The 22,400-nt window shown below is 48.1% G+C and overlaps 2 protein-coding genes across 16 annotated transcripts in view, besides 4 other annotated features; one reads left to right on the top strand and one right to left on the bottom strand.

The window, feature by feature from the left end:
* TMEM131 (transmembrane protein 131) overlaps positions 1–1,182 on the top strand; it is a 239,613-nt gene extending 238,431 nt beyond the window's left edge. For all 8 annotated transcript variants that reach the window (XM_047443844.1, XM_047443843.1, NM_015348.2 and 5 more), the window contains one exon: positions 135–1,182. In XM_047443844.1, the coding sequence (XP_047299800.1) occupies positions 135–419 (285 nt within the window). In that variant the 3' untranslated portion in view covers positions 420–1,182. The remainder of the gene's footprint in view (positions 1–134) is intronic.
* ZAP70 (zeta chain of T cell receptor associated protein kinase 70) overlaps positions 1,154–22,400 on the bottom strand; it is a 42,789-nt gene continuing 21,542 nt past the window's right edge. For 4 of the 8 annotated variants that reach the window (NM_001079.4, XM_047445774.1, NM_001378594.1 and 1 more), the window contains 5 exons: positions 22,062–22,268; positions 19,853–20,045; positions 19,621–19,761; positions 19,411–19,523; positions 17,658–18,143 (listed from right to left, as the gene is read on the bottom strand). In NM_001079.4, the coding sequence (NP_001070.2) occupies positions 18,020–18,143; positions 19,411–19,523; positions 19,621–19,761; positions 19,853–20,045; positions 22,062–22,268 (778 nt within the window). In that variant the 3' untranslated portion in view covers positions 17,658–18,019. Of the gene's footprint in view, positions 16,197–17,657; positions 18,144–19,008; positions 19,218–19,410; positions 19,524–19,620; positions 19,762–19,852; positions 20,046–22,061; positions 22,269–22,400 lie in introns of those variants that run through there. The other 4 variants (XM_047445775.1, XM_047445776.1, XR_007081582.1 and 1 more) reach the window with 3 other exon arrangements.
* Positions 8,666–8,715: an enhancer, noted in NCBI's record as "active region_16244". NCBI's record gives its function as "activates an Ori minimal core promoter by ATAC-STARR-seq in GM12878 lymphoblastoid cells {active_cell/tissue: GM12878}" and the evidence as "EXISTENCE:reporter gene assay evidence [ECO:0000049][PMID:35858748]".
* Positions 8,726–8,775: an enhancer, noted in NCBI's record as "active region_16243". NCBI's record gives its function as "activates an Ori minimal core promoter by ATAC-STARR-seq in GM12878 lymphoblastoid cells {active_cell/tissue: GM12878}" and the evidence as "EXISTENCE:reporter gene assay evidence [ECO:0000049][PMID:35858748]".
* Positions 11,768–11,877: a silencer, noted in NCBI's record as "silent region_11794". NCBI's record gives its function as "represses an Ori minimal core promoter by ATAC-STARR-seq in GM12878 lymphoblastoid cells {active_cell/tissue: GM12878}" and the evidence as "EXISTENCE:reporter gene assay evidence [ECO:0000049][PMID:35858748]".
* Positions 17,459–17,958: an enhancer, noted in NCBI's record as "H3K4me1 hESC enhancer chr2:98356023-98356522 (GRCh37/hg19 assembly coordinates)". NCBI's record gives its function as "activates a minimal SCP1, AML or CMV promoter by ChIP-STARR-seq in naive H9 embryonic stem cells {active_cell/tissue: H9 hESC(naive)}" and the evidence as "EXISTENCE:reporter gene assay evidence [ECO:0000049][PMID:30033119]".

Genomic DNA, 22,400 nt, shown 5'->3' with positions numbered 1-22,400 from the left:
TAACATTTGTTCTAAAGTAAACAAAGTAAGAGGAATGCGTGCCCCAGCCTCATCTTTTCTGTAGCCTTACCCCCTTACCCACTTGACCCTCTGCCTGCCGGGCTCAGTGCTGGACGCTTTCTGTTTTGTCGCAGTCGGTCCTCGGTAACACCAGCGGCCTGTGGTCCACCACTCCATTCAGCAGCTCCATTTGGTCCAGCAACCTTAGCAGCGCCCTTCCCTTCACCACTCCAGCAAACACGCTGGCAAGCATCGGCCTCATGGGCACAGAAAACTCCCCTGCTCCTCACGCTCCCTCCACCTCCAGTCCAGCTGACGACTTGGGACAGACCTACAACCCGTGGCGGATATGGAGCCCCACGATTGGAAGAAGAAGCTCGGACCCTTGGTCTAATTCGCACTTTCCTCACGAGAATTAAATTAAGCAAAAAACAAACAAACATAGTGGGCCCTCGTCTAGATCATGATGTGCCAGTTTCTGAGACATCTTTTTAAGGCTCTTACTGCAGCTCCCCTCCCCACCCTCCTCTTCTTTGCAAAACAGACCCAAGCAGGGCAGGCTCAGACCACTCGCTTCTTTCAGATCTTTCTTGCAATTATGATAACATGAGATTTGCTGTTGTGCTTTTAGAGAAAAGTCTGGACTCAGCCACAAACTCTAATAAGACCTGTACATCTGAGAACCTTTCCCGTTACTGCGTTTTCACCACCTGTCTTCCCCATGCTTTATTTATCTGTATGAACACAGATTTGACATTACAGCTAAGGAAATAATTTGAGTTGATTCAGAAATCCTGGCATGTGACAATTTTGTTAAATTACCAAGTTTGGTTTTTAATAATTTCTCAATATTATGCGCCAAGATCTAATTTTAAAACTGTATGAGGACTTTGTGCTGAAAATAGAGTATTTTTTTAAAGTAAGGCTGTCTTGGTTTAAAAGCAGATTACAGAAATGTAAGTCAACTTAAGAACGGTGAATGAATGTAAAAACATTCAGTTGAGACCATATGCATTTTCTGTGCTGTTTGTACTTGAGGTATGTAACATTTGTATACCTGAACTTATTTTAAAGATGAACTGAAATGCACATAGCCAAGTCTTGAGATACAAGATTGAATGTGTATTTCTTAAAAATACAACTTTGTGTTGTACTTTGAAATAAATGATGCTTTTTTCAAAAGCCTTGTTTTGTGGTTTTTTTTACACACAAGGTGTATTTATTAGGATTTTCTCACACCAAAGTAAACCACCTTATCCTTGCCTTACTCTGTGGAGCTGACAGGTTAAGACGGGGTTTGCCTTCTCATTGCTGGAACTTCCTGCAGTCTAATGGAGTTCTGTGTGTTCCCATGGCAATCATGGAGGGTCCTTGATCGAAAACAACTTGAAAGCCTGTTTGGATTCATCCAGTAAGCGTTTTCCCTCTGCCACTATCCTAAAAGGCCTCATAAAAAGCAGTAATTGCTACCATTTATTGAATACTGACTCTGTCAGGTACCTGGCTAACACTTTGGGATATGTTGGGTTACTCCATTATACTTGAGGAACCTGGCTGGGCAGTGCTGGCTCAGAGGCCCCAGGTCAGGCTGACCGCAGATTCACATGGCACCCACTGTGCTGCCTTCCTTCTGGTCACAGTCACCATTCTCAGGAACAGTCTGTGTCCAACTCACCACTGCATGTTCTAACACTGGCCAACCTTTACCAGCCTTCAGTCTGAGGAAGTTGTATGGTGAGAGGAAGACAGAAAAGGAGAGAAGCGGGGCACAGAGGGAAGACAGCAGGGGCACAGAGGGAAGACAGCAGGGACTCGGGCAGCCTGGGGGAGGGCTCTGGGGGCCACCTGTGGGAGCTTACCAGCAGCAACACAGCATGCAGTGCCCCTTTGGCCCTTTCATTTCTAAATGATGGCTTGGAGACAAGGGGGGATGCCTTGGGCTATGGCACAGGGGCTGGGGGTACTAGAAACAGCTATTTACCCACTGGTATTAAAATGCTTTAGCAGTTTACCTGCTAATACAGCTATACCCCAAAGCCAGGCTGGATGGAAAGCAACCTGTGTGCTACTGAGGAATGGAGCCACAGGTGGCAGTCACACAGGGTGCCATGTAGAAATACCAGCTGGGGCTGCTGGAAACGGAGCCTTGGTGCAGACTGGAAATGACTTAGCCAAGCCTGTAAGGTGCAGTAGTAAAGACTACACATCTAAATTTTATTTTTTTTCTTTTAACTAGAAGTGTGTTGACCCTTTTCCAATTTTAAGACTTTCAGCTCCTCCATGGTCCCTGTTGAGTTCACACAGACACGAGGCGAGTCTCGGTACGCCACAACGCATCGGTTGGTTTAATCTTGCCTGTTCCAACTTGCTTTTCTCATTGTCTTGTTTCCAGTCTGTGTTAAAGCCAGGCTTTGCTAGGTAACATAAATGTTCTGTTGGAGGCTAGTTACATCATGAAATCAAAACTATCCCCATGAAGGTGGGAGTGATTTAGTCAAAATGTTATTTGGCGTGATTGTGAACCTGACCTTTTCTCTGCTTTATACCAAAGCTCACAGAACAAGTCTCATTGTTTTGACAACTTGTGATTTGTCCCTCGGGGACACCAGATTTCCTGTGCAACCAGAGCTATGGTGTGTAGGCTGACATCAGGCCTTGTACAATGTTAGCAGCAGGGTTTCCTACGTGCACTTGCACGATCAGGACAAATTCAAGTCTTGGGATTCTCTTTCTACACCAAAGCAGATAATGACGTGTAAAGCTCTACATACAGGTGAGCTTCATATAAACCCTCACTTAAACCAAAGAAAAACTGGGCCAGGCGCTGGGGCTCACACCTGTAGTCCCAGCACCTTGGGAGGCCGAGGTGGGCGGATCAACTGAGGTCAGGTGTTCTAGACTACCCTGGCCAACATGGTGAAATCCCGTCTCTACTAAAAATACAAAAATTAGCTGGGGGTGGTGCTGTGCATCTGTAATCCCAGCTACTCAGGAGGCTGAGGCAGGAGAATTACTTGAACCTGGGAGGTGGAGGTTGCAGTGAGCCAAGATCATACCACTGCACTCCAGCCTGGAGACAGACAGAGCAAGACTCCATCTCAAAAAAAAAGATAAGAAAAAAACTGTATTGGCAGACTTTTCCTCAGAAAGAGTATCTCAGGAATTGATTCTAAACTTGCTTCATCAGAACAATCGCCTGAGACCCCCCCCGACCAAACTCCTTTTTTAAGTTCTAATTTCACCCCATGAGCCTCGCCAGCAGGCTTGAGAGAAACACTGTGTACTTGGGAGAAGATACAAACAAGGGTCTCTTCTGTTACTTGTGCTTTCCAAATAATTACTCTAAGGGTAGGTATTTGAGTGGCAACATACCCACCAAATCTGAAGATCTGACACAACTCAGTCTGTTTACAGTGAACACTTGTTGGCATGATAGTCGCTTTGTACTAGGCCAAGGTTGAATTTAAAATTACAGGTTGTATATAATTATATTTACATGAAATGATAGTGGATGTCTTTATTTATTTTGAGACTGGGTCTTGCTCTGTCGCCCAGGCTGAAGTGCAGTGGCACAATCATAGGCTCACTGCAGCCCTGAACTTCCAGGCCCAAGCAGCTCTCCCACCTCAGTCTCCCAGGTAGCTGGGACAAAAGACACGGACCACCACATCTGGCTAATTTTTTTTTATTTTTTTATTTTTTGTTTTTTATAGGGATGAGGTCTTGCTTCGTTGCCCCCTCTGGTCTCAAACTCCTGAGCGCAAGCGATCCTCCTGCGTCAGCCTCCCAAAGTGCTGGGATTACAAACATGAGCTGCTATGCCCAGGTATCTTATATGTTTATATAAATACGTATAAACAAAGGTATAATCTTTTTTAAATGTTTTTTTACCTAAACTGTGTATCAAAGGAGTGAAATTAGAATTTGGATTTTTCATGACAACCTGAAATAATGTAAAGGATCAGAATCTCATTTAAAAGACTGTTTTAGCCATCCGGGAAACACAGACTCCAAAGGAAAGGGGTCAGTGTTCCGGAGCTAAAAGGTTAAGGTCTCTTTTATACAGGCAGAAAACACATTTAGTGGAATCACGGCATTTTCCATATGAGTCTGGCTTATGAGCTACAGCAATTTGATTAGTTACAGCTTGATGTTTTTTCTTTCCAATTGAAAAGACTATATTTAACATTGTGATTTAGAGAGTATAGTAGTTGTGAGGTCCTTGTGTAAGAGAAGAAAGAGGGAAATTATAATGACGATCAACAGTTAGGAGGAAAGGGGTCTTCCCTGCTGCCCATGAGTTTTTTATAACATTTTACAAAACAGTGTAGGTAAAGAAAAAGGATAGTCTATGATCAGAGAAACAGGTTATAGGTGCCTGTTGCATGACTCAGGCCTCATCATCACATTCCTTTAAGGCTCTAAATAAAATTTCAACAGCTTTGATTTTGAATTATTTTCACACAAGTAAAGTGATTTAGTTATGCTAAATTTGAAGAAAGATTCCTTTTTGTCACCAAATTATTAACTCTCAATGTAAAAAATACGCTTTAGTAATTTTGTTAGAGATGCCTTTGAGTAGCCTTGTCCTAATTTTACTTGTTCCTATTTCAAAATGCTACCACAGAGTTAAATTCACCCTTAAAATATAGACCAATCCCAGAAATTAGGTCATCACAGATGACTAAAACATTTGCTCCCACATGGGCAGGTTGGAAAAAATAAAAGAACAAATGTTTATATTGATAGTATAAATAAATGTGATTGGGGCTAGTCCACAAAATTTGAATGCTTTAGGAACAGGCTTCTAACCCTGACAAATGCCTGTAGAAGTTGGATAACAAAGACATTTTAGATGCTTTGCTATCTTAGCTATAGTAATAGTAAAAGGTCATTCAAATACAAAGACTCAGATCCTAATGGCAGTGTTTGGGCTGACCACTGTGCTAAAGAAACAAGATCAGCCTATAGAAACACTCCTGTGATCTCACCGGTCTTGAGAAATTCAGAGGCTGCTATTAGTGTCAGAACAAGCCCCTGGTTTGAAAAAAGAAAATGGGGAAAGTTCTGATGCCTTTTACATCTTAGGAGGGCCAGCTGATGTCATGAAAAAAGGTGATAGTGGAATCTAACAAAAATTCTTCATGATGTTACCCATAATTAGATAGCTGTAAAAATAAATTGGCAACAATATTAATTAAGCCAGGTAATTTTAGAGGTATTGCCAATAATGGTTACAAAACATCCCCCTGTGAATGAAATCCTGATAAAACATTTAAATGTAGACGTGAGCAGGAACTGGAGAGCTTGAAGGCCCTTCAGACCCCTCCAAGTAGACTCCATACAAATGCCTTCTGCCGTGGATTATAAATACATTCTGGTTATTGTTTGTTTATATTCACTGTGGATTGAAAATTTCCCTGCCAGAGTGACAAAAAGTGCTTGATTTTGTTTTCCAACCTGGAAAATCCCCACTTACTTCTAATGACAGAGATACTCCTTTTTCCAGACCAATGCTGTGGTTTGTTTGGCCCTGCTGAGTCTCTTGTTGAAATATGATCCCCAGTGTGGAAGGTGGGGCTTGGTGGAGGGGATGGAGCCCTCGTGAATGGCTTGGTGCCATTCTCATGGGACTAAGTGCTCACCCTTAGTGCCCACAAGAACTAGTTGTTGAAAAGAGCTTGGCACCTTCCCCCACCTCCCTCTTCCTCCCTTTCTCACCGTGTGGTCTGCACGGGGCTCTCCTTCACCTCCACCAGGAGTGCACCCAGCCCAAGGCCCTCAGCAGAAGCCAATGCTGCTGCCTCTACAGCCTGCAGAACCCTGAGCCAAATAAACCTCTTCACACATTACTCAGCCTCAGGTGTTCCTTTACAGCAACACAAAGGGACTAAGACATACTGTTATTAAGAAACACTGAAGTTGTGCCTTTAATCCAGAGATTTCACTGTCCTTGTTTTCTCCAGTCCTCTAGAAAAACAGAACTAATGGAATTTTTTTAAAAATAGCATACCTCTCAGAAACCTCCAAAATTCTACATCTTAAGAAATTACCATTAGCATTATACGATCAACCACCTCTAGGTCCCATGTTGCTTCTTATGAATTCATAACATGCCACTGTATACAGTTTGAAGCTTCATCCCATCTTAGATTCTACATGATTACATTTTATTTCCAGCTTTATCTCAACATAAATATGAACTATACAGTATATCCAAAACACACCCGCCTCTACGTGATCTACAGCTTCTGTACAAAAGGCACACAAAGACACGAAATTTATTGCTATTATAATAATATGCTCCCCATACGATCTGTGCTTCAGTGGGACACTACATCTTATTAGCCCATGTCAGGCTTATATTGGTCTGCCACACACTCATGTATATTCAGAGTGGTTAGATATGTTCAGATATTTACAACACCCACGTCTCCAGTAATCCATTCTTTGAAAGAATACCCAGCAATCCAGCGTAAAATTATCATAGATGATTCCAAAACCTTCCAGTAGCGATCCTTGATTTGCTCTTCATGCATACTCTGCAAACTCCAGTTCCCACCAAAGGAATAAAACGACTAGAGAGAGAGTTCAAAACTAGTTGGTAATTTTAGCTGAAGCCATAAACGAGACCACTCTGCTCTGAAAGTCCAACCGACTAATCTAAGTCCATTCTTTAGAGTTATCAAGGACAGTCATATAAGCTTTATTTTCCTCTTAGCCAGCAAAGGGACAGGTCATGCCATAACAAATACTCCTTTTTTATACCTAGAAAAACACCACAGGGGAACAGGACAGTTTGTGACTATTAGAAAAAGCCTTGACCTCTAAAGCCAACCCAGCTGGCTTCTGGAACATGCGCCCATTACCTGGAGGCGCTCTAGGCCCTTGTCTTGCAGACCTGTTACGAGGACTAACAGTCCTTGCGTTTCTCGTAATTACCTGTAAATGGTTGGCTAGTATCTCCTGTCTAGAGTTTTAGATGGTACTGCACACCATTTCTTTCATCATGCGATTCAACAACTCGCTTTACAACAGACAGGAAAAAACTGTTAACTCTGGTGTAACTATAGACTGCGTTCATTAGACACTCTTGAGCCAGCCTCCACTCCAGAGCAAACCCCTGACTCCATAGACCCACCCCCCAAATAAGCTAATAACCAAGGCCCACATCCTACAATTGCTACTTCCTGACACCCTCTTAGGAGACACCCCAGCTCACTGTTGTTTGGGTCCCCCTTGCTGCAGGGAGCAACAAGCCCAGCTGCTTTAACTGCGGTGCGTTGCTGCTGCACTGCGGGGAAGGGCGTTGACCATTTGGGTGTACACATGAGTGCAGTGGCATGGATGAGTGTGGCCTGGGTTCCAGTCCTGGCTCTGCCATTTACTGATCATGGCCCTTGGGCACACTCTGCCCCTCTCAGAGCCTCAGTTTCCCTATATGCAAAACAAACATCCTCAGGAGGATGGTGTGAAACATGAGGCCAAATAAATAAGTGGTAGCACTTCCTATTGTCTGTTACTGTGGTATTCCAAAGACATTTCCCAGTGTTAAACCCCTAGAAATGGCAACTTCCTGATGGGGATGGAACTCATTTGGCAGGGGGCATGAGGCCACCAATCTGGAGCCTCCTGAGCTCCTTGCCACTGCCTGGGGCCCCTCCTCCCACGCCCTCATCCCTCCCACCCTCACCACTGGGTCCACCGCCAGCCTGGGCTCCCGTTTGCCTCAGCCCCGCCTCTCAGCAGAACTGCGGCAGCATGTCCAGGGACAAGGTTCTTAGAGGGACTGGATTTGGACCATTCCTCCCAGCCAGATATTTTGCAGCAGGGAGAGGAGGCTGCATCAGATTCCTATGCCCACAAAGCACCACCTCCTTTTCCAGTTAAGGCAATGTGGGGCTGCAAATTTTCATGCATTCAGGATCCTTCTGTAACTTAATTCCTTTGCCGTCAGTCCCCTCCCGCTTCTGCAGAATGCATGCTCCTAGCAACTCTCACAGACCTGACCCCTGACAGTCATTGCCCACCCGGAACTCCAAAGCCAGCAGGGCTTGCTGCTGCCTAGAAAGACCTATTGCCATCATTCCCTTGTCCCTGCTCTATAAACGTCCTTTTGGGAAAAGCACTCCCATCTCCCTCCTTTCCCACACAGACAGCGCACTATGCGTGCTATTAGTCTGTGCCTTTTGTAAAAATAGGAAGTGTCAGCCGGGCGCGGTGCCTCATGCCTGCAATCCTAGCACTTTGGGAGGCCGAGGCAGGCGGATCCCGAGGTCAGGAGATCGAGACCATCCTGGCTAACACGGTGAAACCCCGTCTCTACTAAAAATACAAAAAATTAGCCGGGCTTGGTGGCGGGCGCCTGTAGTCTCAGCTACTCGGGAGGCTGAGGCAGGAGAATGTCGTGAACCCGGGAGGCGGAGCTTGCAGTGAGCCGAGATTGCGCCACTGCACTCCAGCCTGGGCGACAGAGCGAGACTCCGTCTCAAAAAAAAAAAAAAAAAAAAAAAGGGAAGTGTCACATCCACTGTAAGCAATACTCCCTCTACAAACGCACTCCCAGACTAAACCGTCACGGACCTAAGAAGAGCACATGAGATCCGCAATCAGCCCCGGGCTCATGGCCTCCCACGGGAGGGAAAGCCTGTGGCTCCGCTTTCAGGAGCAATGTTATGGGAAGCTATATATGGAAACTAGAATTTGGCCTTACAGTGCTACGGTGCTGTACGTTTTATAAAATTAGAATCCAGTGTCTTTTAGAGGTGGCGGGAACCTTGGAGAGTGCATGCTGGGTAGGTGCCCCATTGAGAACACCCTGAGTGGGAGGGAACCCCGCCCAGCTAGCATATGGCAGTGAACAGGGAGTGAGGGGATGGCCCAGAACCCGCACCTGGCCTCACGCAGCCAGTCGCAGCACAGAGGCCACCAGGGGTCAGTCTAGCAGCATCATAAGTGAGAAAGACCCTGGTTCTTCTGCTCCATGGAGAACACCCCTGCAGTTCACTAGCCCAGCCCATGGCAGGCGGGGAAGCAGAACGGACTCTTCATAGCCACCAGCCTGTTGCCTCCTCGCCTGATGAAAATCAGACCAATACGAAATTACAGAGAGAAGGAAGAGCCATGACTTCTTAAAAAAAACAAAATAGAGCTTCTTCTTGATCAAAGAAAACCTGCTTTAAACTTGCCAAGTGGATTAACAGTTTTTAATCATTTATTATAAATACTGTACCAACACATCGATTATAAGGAACTGGTTTTCCCCAACCATTCTGGGTTTAGCCCCATCATCAACATTGTGAATAAATATTCCTAATGTAGCCATTGCCCTGTGCTAATAAACTTTCAACAGGTAAGAAACATGGCCTCAGGTGAGATATTTTACACCACACAGACATGGAGAGTCAGGCAGAGAAGCCACATGCCTATCACTCTATCCTTGTGGATTAGGTACAGGCCACCCGTTACTTGGGAAATTTCACCGTCAGTGTTTCCCACACTGGGGTTTTAAAATCTAGACACTTGGCTTCAAGATGCATTACAAAGACTAATAGTCATTAGTTCCTGGGAAGTGTCTGCATTAGAGTTGGCAGACATGTCCTGCCCACAGCCTTCCACACTACAAAGCAGCCATCTTCACAACAGATGGCTCGGCCAGTCACCAATAGCAAAAAAAAAAAAAAAAAAAAAAAAAAAAAAAAACCTCGTGCCAGTACAGGCCAGGTCCAATAGACACTCTTCTGACAGCAGGATTTTTTCACACTGAGATAAAATTCACATCAAACAAAATGCACTTTAACCATTTTAGAGTATAAAGCTCACTGCTTTTTAGTGTATTAACAGTGATGGGCAACCATCACCACTCTCTCATTCCAGAACATTTCATCAACACTGCCACCTCCCCCACCTCCAAAAACAACTTCCATGCCCATGAGCAGTCACTACCCACTGTCCTTCCCCTAGCCCCTGGCAACCACTATCTACCTTCTGTCTCTCTGGATTTGCCCATGCTTAACACTTCATATAAATAGAATCACACAATATGTGGCTTTTTGTGTCTGGATCCTGTCACCTCGGTAAAGTCTTTGAGGTCAGTGGCTGCTGTGGCATATGTATCAGTACTTCATTCCTTCTTATGGCTGAATAAGGCTTCCGTGTATGTATATACCACACATTTATCTACTCATCTGTTGATGGACATTCGAGTTACTTCCACTTTTTGGCTGTTATGAATAATGCCACTGTATACACAATGCATTCATGTACCAGTTTTTGTGTGAACATACGTTTTCCATTCTCTTGAGTATTACCCAGGAGTGGAATTCCTGGGTCAGATGGTTAATCTATGTTTAAATTTTTAAAGAACTGCCAAACTGTTTTACAAAGCAGCTGCACTTTGTAACATCCCCACCAGCAATGCACGAGTGATCTGACTTCTCCACATCCACTCCCACAGTTGTTTTTGCCCATTTTTCCTTTACCTTTTTTTTTCTTTTGGAAGTGCTATCTCATTTGCATTTCCCTAATGATTAATAATGTTGAGAATCTTTTCATGTGCTCATTAATGAGTCAATGGTATGTCTTAAAGAAATGTTTGTTCAAATCCTTTGTCCATTTTTTACTTAGACTGTCTTTTTATTGTTGATTTATACAAAGGTCTTTATATAAGTTGGATGTTAGATTCTTCCCCAATATATGATTTGCAAGTACTAGGCCCATTCTGTGAGTTCTCTTTTCAATTTCTTGATACACTTTTCTTGTACAAAGAGTTTCAATGTCATGAAGTCCACCTTCTCCATTGTTTTCTTTTGTTGCTGGTGCTCTTGTGTCTTAGTCTGTGTGTGCTGCTGTCAACAAAATGCCTTAGACTGGGTAATTCATCAACAACAGAAATGTATTGCTCCCAGCTCTGGAGGCTGGGAAAACCAAGATCAAGGCCACTCCTGTCCGGGTGTGTCACCAGCAAAATCTGCCAAGCCCTTAACCTCCTCTGAAAGTTCTGCTCACCTCCTTGCTGAAGCCAAAACTTAAAAACACAGGTCTATAAATTGTGGCATAGACAACGTTGGTTGTGCTTGAGCAAGAGACCTTCCATTGTATTTTAATCCTCACTGGACTTACAGAGAGTAACTGTATATTTTGTGGCGGTGGTGGGTTTTTTTAAGCTATTTTTAAAATTGTAGTAAAACATATTTAATAATATTTGTCATTTTAACTTTCTAGGTGCACAATTCAGTGTCAATTACATTCACAGTGTTGTGCAACCATCACCCCTATCTATTTCCGAACTTTTCCATCATTCCCAACAGAAACTCTGTAAACGTGAATCCATGATTCCTCATTGCCTACTCCCCCCAGCTCCTGGTAACTTCTATCTGCTTCCCGTCTCTATGAATTTGCCTGTTCTAGATATTTCCTGTAAGTGGAACCATACGATGTTTGTCCTTTTGTGTCTGGCTTCTTTCACTAGCATATTTTCAAGTTTCCTCCATGCTGTAGCAGGCAAGAGAGTTTCCCTCTTGTTTCAGCTGGATAATGTTCCATCAGCTGGATAATGTTCCATGGAATGTATACACCTCATTTTGTTTATCCATTCATCATTTGATGGACATTTGGGTTGTTTCAACCTTTTGGCTATCGTGAATGATGCTGCAGTGAACATTGGTTTACTATTATCTGAGACCTTGTTTTCAATTCACTGGGGTGTATACTTAAAAGTGAACTGCCGGGTCGATGGTCAGCCCATGTTTAGCCTTGTAGGGAAACATCAAACTGCTTTCCACAGAGGCTGCACCATCTCACATCCCCACCCACAGTGTGTGAGGGTTCCAATTTCGCCACACCCTCAGCAGCCGTAGTTACGGTGTGTGCACACGGCCATCCTAGGAGGTGTGAGGTGTGGCTTGTCACTGTGGTTTTTATTTTCATTTCTCTTATGATTAATGAAGTTCACATTTCATGTGTTTGTTAACCATTTGTATAGCATCTGTGGAGAAATGTCTGTTCGAGTCTTTTGCCCAGTTAATTGAGTTGGATATTTTTTTGTTGTTGGATTGTAGGAATTCTTTATGCATTCTAAACACTAAATCCTTATCAGATAAATGATTTGCTAACATTTTTCTCATTCTCTGGGCTACCCTTTGATGATGTCCTTTAATTTAAAAATTAAAAGGTTTTTTGGCCAGGCACAGTGGCTCATGCCTGTAATCCCAGCACTTTGGGAGGCCAAGGCAGGTGGATCACCTGAGGTCAGGAGTTCGAGACCAGCCTGGCCAACATGGTGAAACCCCATCTCTACTAAGAAGACAAAAATTAGCTGGTCATGGTGATGGACACCTGCAATCCCAGCTACTCAGGAGGCTGAGGCTGGAAGATTGCTTGAGCCCGGGAGGCAGAGATTGTAGTGAGCCGAGATTGCACCACTGCAGTCCAGCCTGGGGGACAGAGCGAGACTCCGTCTCAAAAAAACAATAAAACAAATAAAAATTAAAAACAAAAAGTAAAAGATTTTTATATTGATCAAGTTCAGTTTATCTATTTTTCTTTTATTGCTTGTGCTTGGAGTGTTATACCTGAGAATCCACTGCGAAATCCAAAAATATTTACCTCTTTGTTTTCTTAAGAGTTTTACAGTTTGGGCTCTTATATTTAATATTTAGGTCATTGATCCATTTTAGTTAGTTTTTTTATATGTGTGAGATAGAGGTCTGACTTTTTGTTTGTTTTGTTTGTGGAAATCAAGTTGTCCTGGTACCATTTGTTGAAGGGATTATTCTTTACCCCAATGAACAGACTTTGCAGCTGTGTCACCTTCCCTGGATCCTTCCCTGTTATTCTCTGTTCTCTTTTTCAGACCATGGAGAAGCTCTCCTCCCTCTGGCCCATGAAACCTTTCAGGAATTTGATGGATCAGCTATCACATTCCCCTGGCCCCATCCCCAGTTTGCTTTCCTCCATGGAAGGAAGTAATATTTAATAAGCAGCTACTAAGTGCTAAACTAATGCATTGTTTCACTTCACATCACTACTCAGAAAGGTAAACACAGTTATTATCACCATGTGACAAATGAGAAGACTGAAGCTCCCCAAGGTTAAGTAACCTCCCTGAGGTCTCACAGCCAGACTGCAGAGTCCAGGGCCTTGTCATATTATACCGAGCTAATCTGCCAGTTTTGGTTTTTTTCACTTCGTCCACCAGAACAAAATTTTGAGTTTATTTAGCGTGTCTACAGGGTAGAGGCCATTCTCCCAGCTCTCTGAGGAAGAAGGTGTCCAGGGAATGCAGAGCTAGCAATGAGTCAGAGCTGAGGGGAGCACCGGGCCAGGGCCTGCCGAGGAGCGGGGAGTGGATAGGGTTTCGCTGGGTTCAAATTCTCCCTCCTAGCTGTGTGGACTGGGGCAAGTCAGGCCACCTCCCTGAACTTCCGGTGCCTCATCTGTGAAATGTTTACAGATGGTGAAATTGGACTTTCATTCAAGATGGCAGACCAAGTACACATAGAAACCATTCTTCAAACACTTAGCAATGACAGGAAAATACCAGGTATACAAGAGACCACTGCAGAGATGCCCAGAGACAAGGGTTGAAGCCCCCCACCACCTACCCATTAGGAGGCTAGTACCAATGCAGGGCCCCCTAATGTATGAAGCCAAGAGCACAGGCTCTCATATACAGCCCTTACAAGATACACATGCAAGAAATATTCTGAAGAGACAATGGATTCACAACCACTTCATGAAATTTCCACAAACTCCCCAACTGGAAGAATTTACGTCTGAGGAAATAGAGAATAATAGTGCAACCTTAAAAGAATTTTGCAATAAATATATTAAAAACTCAAAGAGATAAAGAAGGGAATAACAGCCATAAACAAGAACAGGAGGCCGGGTGCAGTGGCTCATGCCTGTAATCTCAACACTTTGGGAGGCCGAGGCGGGTGGATCACCTGAGATCAGGAGTTCAAGACCAGCCTGACCAATATGGTGAAACCCTATCTCTACTAAAAATACAAAAATTAGCTGGGCATGGTGGCGGGTGCCTGTAGTCCCAGCTACTCAGGAGGCTGAGGCAGGAGAATCGCTTGAACCCGGAACGTGGAGATTGCAGTGAGCCAAGATCGCGCCATTGCACTCCAGCCTGGGCAACAAGAGCAAAACTTTATCTCAAAGAAAAGAAAGAACAGGAGACTATGAGACAAAAGCAGGCAGATATAAGAAAGAACCAGGAGCTCATATGTGAAAAGTTTCATTGCTAGAATAAAAACTCCACAGAAGCGGAAGTGGAGAGCCAGAGGTGGGAGGGATTTAACAAGGCCACATGGGATTTTAGTGGCAGCCACGGAGCCAGAACCAAGGCCTAACTCAGGAGTTTGGTTCCGAGGAGGATGAATGTATGTGCTTTCTTCTCCCTTTTTTTCTTTCCCATTTCTCTCCCTGAAGTATAAGGTTGGTGCTGAGCTGAACACCACAGCCCCTTCCTAGATGAGAAACAGGGCTTCCATGCCTTGATTGGGCAGGGTGGGACAAAGAGTTTTGCCTCAAGATGGAGAGCTAACAACCTCTGTCCTCTAGAACATGAATTAAACAGAACCTTAATGTCTACAGAGGAGTTTGTTAAATGAAGCCCAGAAAAGCTGCCAATAGAGTTGCCTCTTACATATTGGCCTTGGGATAGTGGGCATGTTGGGTCTGTAAACCAAGTCCTCAGAGCCTTGGTTTCCTCAACTGTAAAATGGGTTCAAGAGTCCCCACCCCAGGCAGATGTTTTGAGAATTAAACAGGAAGTTGTGTGTTCGAGGCACCCAGCACATCAGAATTGCCTCCCACAAATACCTTCCTGGGGCTTCACAGCCCTCTAATTTGAGCTCAGAGATACCTCAGACAAGGACAAAGCTACAGGCACATGGGACCCCAGCCTCCAACAGAGAAGAGAGAAATTTGAAACCCTGAAGGGACAAAAGGTGAATGGAAGCAGAACAGGAAACTGATTCACCATATCCTCACCCATGTGGCCACAGGGCAGCCTACGCCCTTGGCCTTTTGCTCAGAGCAGAGGATGGGGCCTGAGAAGGTGCGAGCTCTGTGCTGGGCATGAGGCCATGAGACGTTCACAGCAAGAGGTGGCATCTGTCAAGCTGGCGCACATCTGAAAACACTGCTCAACTTCGCCACTTACAAGAGAAATGCTAATTTGTCTTAATTTACACAATAAGATATTTTTCCCATCTAAAATTAAAAAATGTTTTTAAAATGGTAAAACCCAATGCTAGGAAGCCGTGGACCTGGTAGATGGAGATGTTAGTTGCTTCCTGGCCAAGGAGTCAGGAAATATGAAACAAAGAGGATGTTACTGACCTCCCATCTTGATCACCGCACCAGGCCTTGCGTTTTCTTCCCATTTCCAAACTCAGCCTTCCAGCCCCGCCAAAACCTCTCTTTGTTTCCAGAAGGACATTCTCTCCCACTACACACTATTCCTGCTCCCTGGGATACTTTCTTTACGGTCCCCAACCAAATGTCACTCACCCTTCAGAACTCAGCTAAGGCGTTCCCTCCTACAGGAAGCCCACCAGATTGGCCCCTCTCAGCTGGCTCAGGAGCTTCTCTGGACCTCCAGGGCCCAGTGGGCTGCCACCATGCCAGTGGTTATCACCCTGAGCCTGTGTGCCTCATGACACACGTCTGGAATAGGCACATGATCAATAGAGGAGGAGTGAGATATTTGGAGAAGAGGTGTGCTCTGTATGGTCTTGGAACGGTAAAGGGAATGGGGGTCAAGGTTGGTGTCAGCAGCTGGAAAACCTTTCTAAGAATTGTAACTCACTTACCAGCCCAGGCTGCGTTGAGAGGTAATGGATGAGCTGCCCATCACAGGAGGTGTGCAAGCAGTGATCAGAAACTGCGTCCCTCAGCCCCTCTCCTCCATACCCAGGGAGCCTGGGCGGGGAGCTTTCCTAGCGGACATCACCCGGGAGGGAACGGGGAGCTTTCCTCGGGGACATCACCTGGGGGGGACGGGGAGCTTTCCTAGCGGACATCACCCGGGAGGGGACGGGGAGCTTTCCTAGGGGACATCACCCCGGGGGACGGGGAGCTTTCCTAGGGGACATCACCGGTGGGGACGGGGAGAGCTTTCCAGGCAGCGGCAGCGGTGAATGCAGAGGCCCAGAGGGGAGTCCGCGTGGGCGCTGGAAACCCTGGAGGAGGGTGAAGGGGCTTGGTCAGAGCCGCCAAGAGAAAAGATCCTGCAAGCACCTTCCAGGGGACTGTTGGGAAAAAGCTGAGTGTTGGGAGGGAAACTGAGATGGGGCTTGCATGACTGAAATAATGGCCTCTGGAACGTGTCTAGACTTGCTGGCTCCTTGCTTCTAGCCTTCCTAGGCTCCTAGATCGATTGTATTCCCATTATCTCAAGTAGCAGAACATGTTCCGTAGAAAAGCTAAACCATCACAGCTGTAAATCATGTGCTTAATGCAACGTGTCCTTTTGACAGCCACATTCTCACCACCTGTTTCTTTGTTGGATTACAAATAAATACCGTGGGCTCCCAGAGCTCAGGGTCTTCGCAGCCTCCATGATGGCGATGACCCCCTGGTGTCCCACTTTTATCTCTCAAACTGTCTTTTTCTCAATCCTTTGACTCTGCCGGACTTTGTCACCCCCACGACCTGGTGTTGGGTCTGATCACCCCAACAGGGGACAGGAATGGGGACCTGGAGGTGAGGGCCTGAGGTCGTGCTGCTAGCGGAAAAGGAGACGTGCAGAGGTGAAGCAGGCAGTGAGGGCGGGATTGACCCCAGCTGGCCTCGGCCTCTGGAAACATCGCCACCTGGAGAGTGCTCTGCGGAACTGCACCCTCTTTCGTTGGTTCCTCAGCGGACATCTCTGGTGGGTCTGTTAGCGTTCCCAATGTACTTGACACCCATTTTTTAATGCCTCCTTCTTATAAAATAAGATTACTTTCATCAATAATGATGACATGAAACATAATGATGACCAAAAGGCAATGAAAGCCACAATTCATTTACTGTCTGATATATTTTACATAATGTAAGTCGTTCAGCGACTCACAAATGAATTTTAATAAAACTGAACTACCTGCAAACCACGATTTAAGAAACCACTAAATTGATGCAATTTGTCTTAATTCGTTCATTAGCTTTTAAAACAATTAATTTAAAAACAATGTTTGCATTTTGGTATTTTTCAGATTCAAATTCAGTAATACGGTTCATACGGGAGCTAATACGTGCATCTACCAATGAAAAGCATTGTATCTCATGATTTGCAAGGCACCCCTGGGGGGGTGAAGACCCCAGCTGGATGGGGGAGGGGGGGTTAGCGTTTGTTAAAATAGCTCCAGGTGATCCTAACGTGCACCTGGCATGGGGCACACTCATCTCCACACAGGGGAGCTGGGCTCAGCCAGGCACGCAGCCCTTGGGCCCACACCCGCCTGGCCTCAGGTTCCCCACTCCACCCCAGCCGCTCACTCACATGAAGGTGTCCCTAGGGTGGAGAGTGGGACCCAGCCCCATCTTCCCAGGGGTCACTTCCAGGCTCAGTCCACACAAGAACAGTCACCTCCATGCACTTTTCATAACCCACCCCTCCCCTGACACCTACCCTCACCCCGGAAAAGATGAGGGCGCTCAGACAAGAGGGAAGCTGGGTTTATTCTGGTGATCTACGCCTGACCACCTGAGGATGCCCAGGCTCCAATGTCAGGGCCCAGGGGAAGGCATCCGTGTAAGCAATGCCCTCAGCTCAGGGCCCTCCGGGAGCCACCAGCCCAGGACAGGCTGCACAGCCGCACCCTCCCGGACCTCCCTGCTCCCCAGCCAGAGAGGACAGGGGGCCAGGCAGGCAATGCAAGGCCGGTGTGGCCTGAGACACCCCCTACCACAGCCCAGCTGTGTGTGGAGACAACCAAGCAGGGCTCAGCCAGACTGCAGGACCTGGGGTGGGGCTGAGGGTGGGGAAGAGCCGGCGTGGAGGGCTCCCCTGGGCAGCGGGAGCTCAGGCACAGGCAGCCTCAGCCTTCTGTGTGCTGCCTGGGGGCCCTTCCACCTTGCTGGCCAGGCTGTAGTAACAGGCTCGCATGCGCTGCTCCACGGTCAGGAAGTCGGGGCGATCCTCCCACCTGTGGGGCGTGGGGTACATCCAGGCTGCTGACCACGCCCCCAGGACCCAGCTTCACCAGTGGGTGGGCATGCACTGTGCTTGGCTGAGGTAGACTTTTGGGGCTCAGAAAGTCAGCAGGGCTGTTGGGGTGGCGGGACATTGGGTGGTGGAGAGGACTCTGGGGTGTGAGAGCGTTGGGCAATGCCACACAGCCTAAGGAGGCAGAGCTGCCCACACACAGGGTGCTGGGATGACCCCTCTACCGAGCGTTGACCAGTGAGGACTCAGGGGACTGAGTGGACTTGGTGTCAGAGTGGCAACTATTGACCACGGGGACCTGGGATATAGAAAGCTGATGCTCTGTGCATGCACCTGGGGCCAGGGTATCAGTGTGCTGGGGCTTAGATGAGAGGGAGTGCAAGGCTGGTGATCAGCAGAAGCCTGGAGCATGGCAGTGGGTCTGGCCAGCGGGGAGCGGCAGTATTAACGGTACTGTGCATGGGGTATCCATGGACTGTGTTGGGGTGCTAGGTGCTAGCCTCTTTGGGTACTGGGGTGTGGTGCCCTGGGTGTTTCCTGATGGAGGTGGAATTAACACATGTCGCAGGAGGGTGGGCCAGCCAGAGAGGGTGTCTATCTGTTGGGCTGCTTGGGTGTTGGGGTGTCAGCATGCTAAGTGCTGGCCGGTGGGGGGTCATGCGTTACAGTGTCCACACATTGCATGGGCAGTCTAGGGCGTCCGCTTGTCTGGGGGTGTGTTGCCTGTTGTCTGATGGGAAGTTGGGATACTGATGGTGTTAGGAGTTGAGATGTCTGAAGGTTGGGCTTCAACCAGGCAGAGGTGGGGGCTGGAATAGATGAGTATTTGGTACCTCAGTGCTCACCTGTCTGGTAGTTGGGTGCTGTGTGCTGGCTGGTGGGGACTGGAGTGTTGGGTACTGGAGAATCATCTCATGCCCTGAGTGTCAGTGTCATAGGTTGAGTAGCAGAGTATGGACCTGTTTGCGTGTTGCAGGGTCCATGTGTTGAGTGATGGCTGAGGTTTTAGATGCTGAGGCACAGGCCCACAGGTGGGATGGCAGGGTGTGGCACACTGGAGCAGGACAGCAAACCCTGGTGTGTTGGAGAGCTGGGTGTGGGGGTAGGGGGCAGCTGCAAAGGCTATGAACTGGGTGAAGGGCTTTGGGTGAGATGACATTGGGTAGAGTTATATTGACATCAACTCATCGGGCACCAGGACTTTCCAGGGGTCAGCCCAGCCGGGTCCCCTCCCCACTGGCACTCACTTGTAGATCCAGCAGTCACTCATGAGTGCGTACAGTTCGGGTGGACACTCTGGTGGGCACTCCATCCGCTTGCCCTGCTCGATGAAGGCCATGACCTCCGGCCCTTTCATCTTCTGCTCAAGCCGGGGCAGAGACACCTGTGAGTGACCAGTGTCCTCCTCCTCATCCCCCTCCCCACCACACCGCCCACCTGCCTCTGCCCGCGCCTGCCTTGTAGGGCTTCTGGCCGTAGGACAAGGCCTCCCACATGGTGACCCCATAGCTCCAGACATCGCTGCGGCTGGAGAACTTGCGGAAGTTGATGCATTCGGGTGCGTACCACTTGAGCGGCCACTTCCCTGCTGAGCGGGCCTGGGGAGGGGGAGATGCTGCTGGATCAGGGGTCAGGGACCCTCTACCCACCCAGCCCATCCAGTCGGGCATCACAGGGGCAGAGGCTTACAGTGTAGTAGCTGTCGTCGGCACCCAGTGCTTTGGAGAGGCCAAAGTCGCTGATCTTGGCGTAGTGCCGGTTAACCAGCAGGACGTTGCGGGCCGCCAGGTCACGGTGCACAAAGTTCTTCTCCTCCAGGTACTTCATCCCCATGGACACCTGGTGCAGCAGCTCGGCCACATTGCTCACAGGGATCTCCTCCCTGGGGTGGCGGGGAAGGCGGGGTCAGCTGGGAGAAGACTAGCCAAGTTCCCAGGGGCAAAGCATGCTTCTCTGACCCAGCTGGGCATGAGCCAGGTGACCATGTGTTCAAAAACGCTTATTGAGCACCTGCTGTGTGCCAGGCGTGGGGCTGGGGACACAGCAGTGAACAAAACAGGCAAAACTCCTGCCTTCATCCAGTCTCAAGGCTTTAGGGATCACCCACACGCTACGACTCCCAAGTCTAGACCTATGCCTGCACCCTCGACGTGCTGAGGTCTCACAGGCATCTCAAAGATAATGTGGCCTGATTGTCCCCATCCCCATGTGCACACACATATGGCTCCTCCACTGTCCTCTCCAGCAGCTCCTCTTTCTCTCACACCCAATCCATCAGCAAACCCTGGCAGTTCTGGTGTCAGAATCTCTCCAGAATCCACCGCACTCCTCATCTCTGCCTCTGCCACCGGGAAGCAGCCGCAGCATCACTCACCTGGACCCCCAGGCAGGAATAGTCAGCTCCGCCCAGGCCCTCGCTCCCTCCTGTCTCCCACTGTCTTGTCCTCTCTGCCCCTGAGTCAGGTCCTCCCCCTCCTCTGCTCACAGCACCCCCTAGCTCCCACCCAACTCAGGGTAAAACTCCAAGTCCTCCTGGCAGCCCGCAAGGCCTGGCACGGTCTGCTCATCCCCTCCCTGCCCGCACCACACGAGGCACGGGACCACCTCAGGGCCTCTGCACAGGCGGTGCCCTTTGCCTGGAATGCCCTTCCCCACGTCTGGGCATGGCGGCCTCCCTCAGTTTGTTCAAACCTCCCTGCTCACTGCACCTCGCACCCCAACACTCCCAACCCCCTGGAGCTGCGGCAGGCTTGTGCCCACCACACTATCTTCCCACATGCTCTAGATTTCATCAGGATTGTTACTTACTGTCTCTCTTCTCCAACCAGAATACAGAGCATGGATCTCTGCCTTGTTTATTCGCTAATGAATCCCAAGTGCTACTAACAGTTCCTGTCACTGAGAAACTGTCCAATAAACACCTGTCAAATGACTGAATGTGGGAGCCAGGGGCACACTGGGAAGGTGTGTGCACCAGCCAGAGGGCACAGATCAGCAAAAACGTGCCTTGGGGAGTGCAGAACTTGTGTCTGTGAGGGTAAGAGTTTGGGGATGAGGAACCACAAATGAAACTGCAAAACTTTTCAGTAAAGGGCCGGATAGTAAGGATTTTAGCCTTTACAGGCCACAAGTGATCTCTGTCACATCTTCGTTTTTGTTTCTTTAAAAAAAAAAAAATTAAAAATAGAAAACCACGCAGCACGTAAACAAAGGGCAGGTTCCAGATAACTGGCAATGGGCACTTTCCCAGGGGCCATGAATTTGGCCCAGGGAGTCTGGGGAGCAGCTGATGTGTACAAAGCTCTTACTAGCAGTGCCCTTTATTTATTTTTATTTATTTATTTTTTTGAGATGGAGTTTCGCTCTGTCCCCAGGCTGGAGTGCAGTGGCACAATCTCGGCTCACTGCAAGCTCCGCCTCGTGGGTTCAAGCGATTCTCCTGCCTCAGCCTCCTGAGTAGCTGGGAGGCGCCCACCACCACGCCCAGCTAATCTTTTGTATTTTTAGTAAGGACGGGGTTTCACCATGTTGGCCAGGATGGTCTGGATCTCTTGACCTCATGATCCACCCGCCTTGGCCTCCCAAAGTGCTGGAATTACAGGCATGAGCCACCGCACCCGGCCCTAGCAGTGCCCTTTATAGGTGCCGACTCATTCGATCCTCGCAAAGGCCCTGGAGGTAGACACTGTTATTACCGCACTGGTGCAATGGTGGACTGAGGGTTAGCTCTGCTTTGCAGGCATGGGTATGGGTGTGGGTGTGCAGGCTGAGAGTGTGTCCACGATGGTGTGGAAGTGCCCCGGCTTCCCACACACGCATGCACGCGGGTGCATGTCCACCATGCCCAGGATGGGCCCCGGCCCCACCCACCCGATGGCCGGGCCCACCCGGTGCTCACCTCTTGCCGACCAGGAACTTGTGCAGCGGCCCGCCCCCAGCCATCTCCATGACCAGCATGAGGGCCTCGGCCTGGCAGACGCCAATGAGCCGCACGATGTAGGGGTTGTCCAGCTGGTGCATGATCTGCGCCTCGCGCATCATCTCTTCCGTGTCTGCCTTCTCCGTGCCCTGCTTCAGCACCTTGATGGCCACGTCGATCTGCTTCCTGCCCGACCCGGCCACGGGAGGCACGTGGGCGAGGGGCACCGGCCCTGCTCGGCCCCACACCCCCACCCACCCATCTCTCTTCTCCCTTGAGTTGTGTGGTAGACAACTGTAGTCGCCACCCAGGCTGGGA

This window comes from Homo sapiens, chromosome 2, assembly GCF_000001405.40.
Source record: "Homo sapiens chromosome 2, GRCh38.p14 Primary Assembly".
NCBI classification, from domain to species: Eukaryota; Metazoa; Chordata; class Mammalia; order Primates; family Hominidae; genus Homo; species Homo sapiens.
This window is presented reverse-complemented; position numbering and strand designations above follow the sequence as displayed.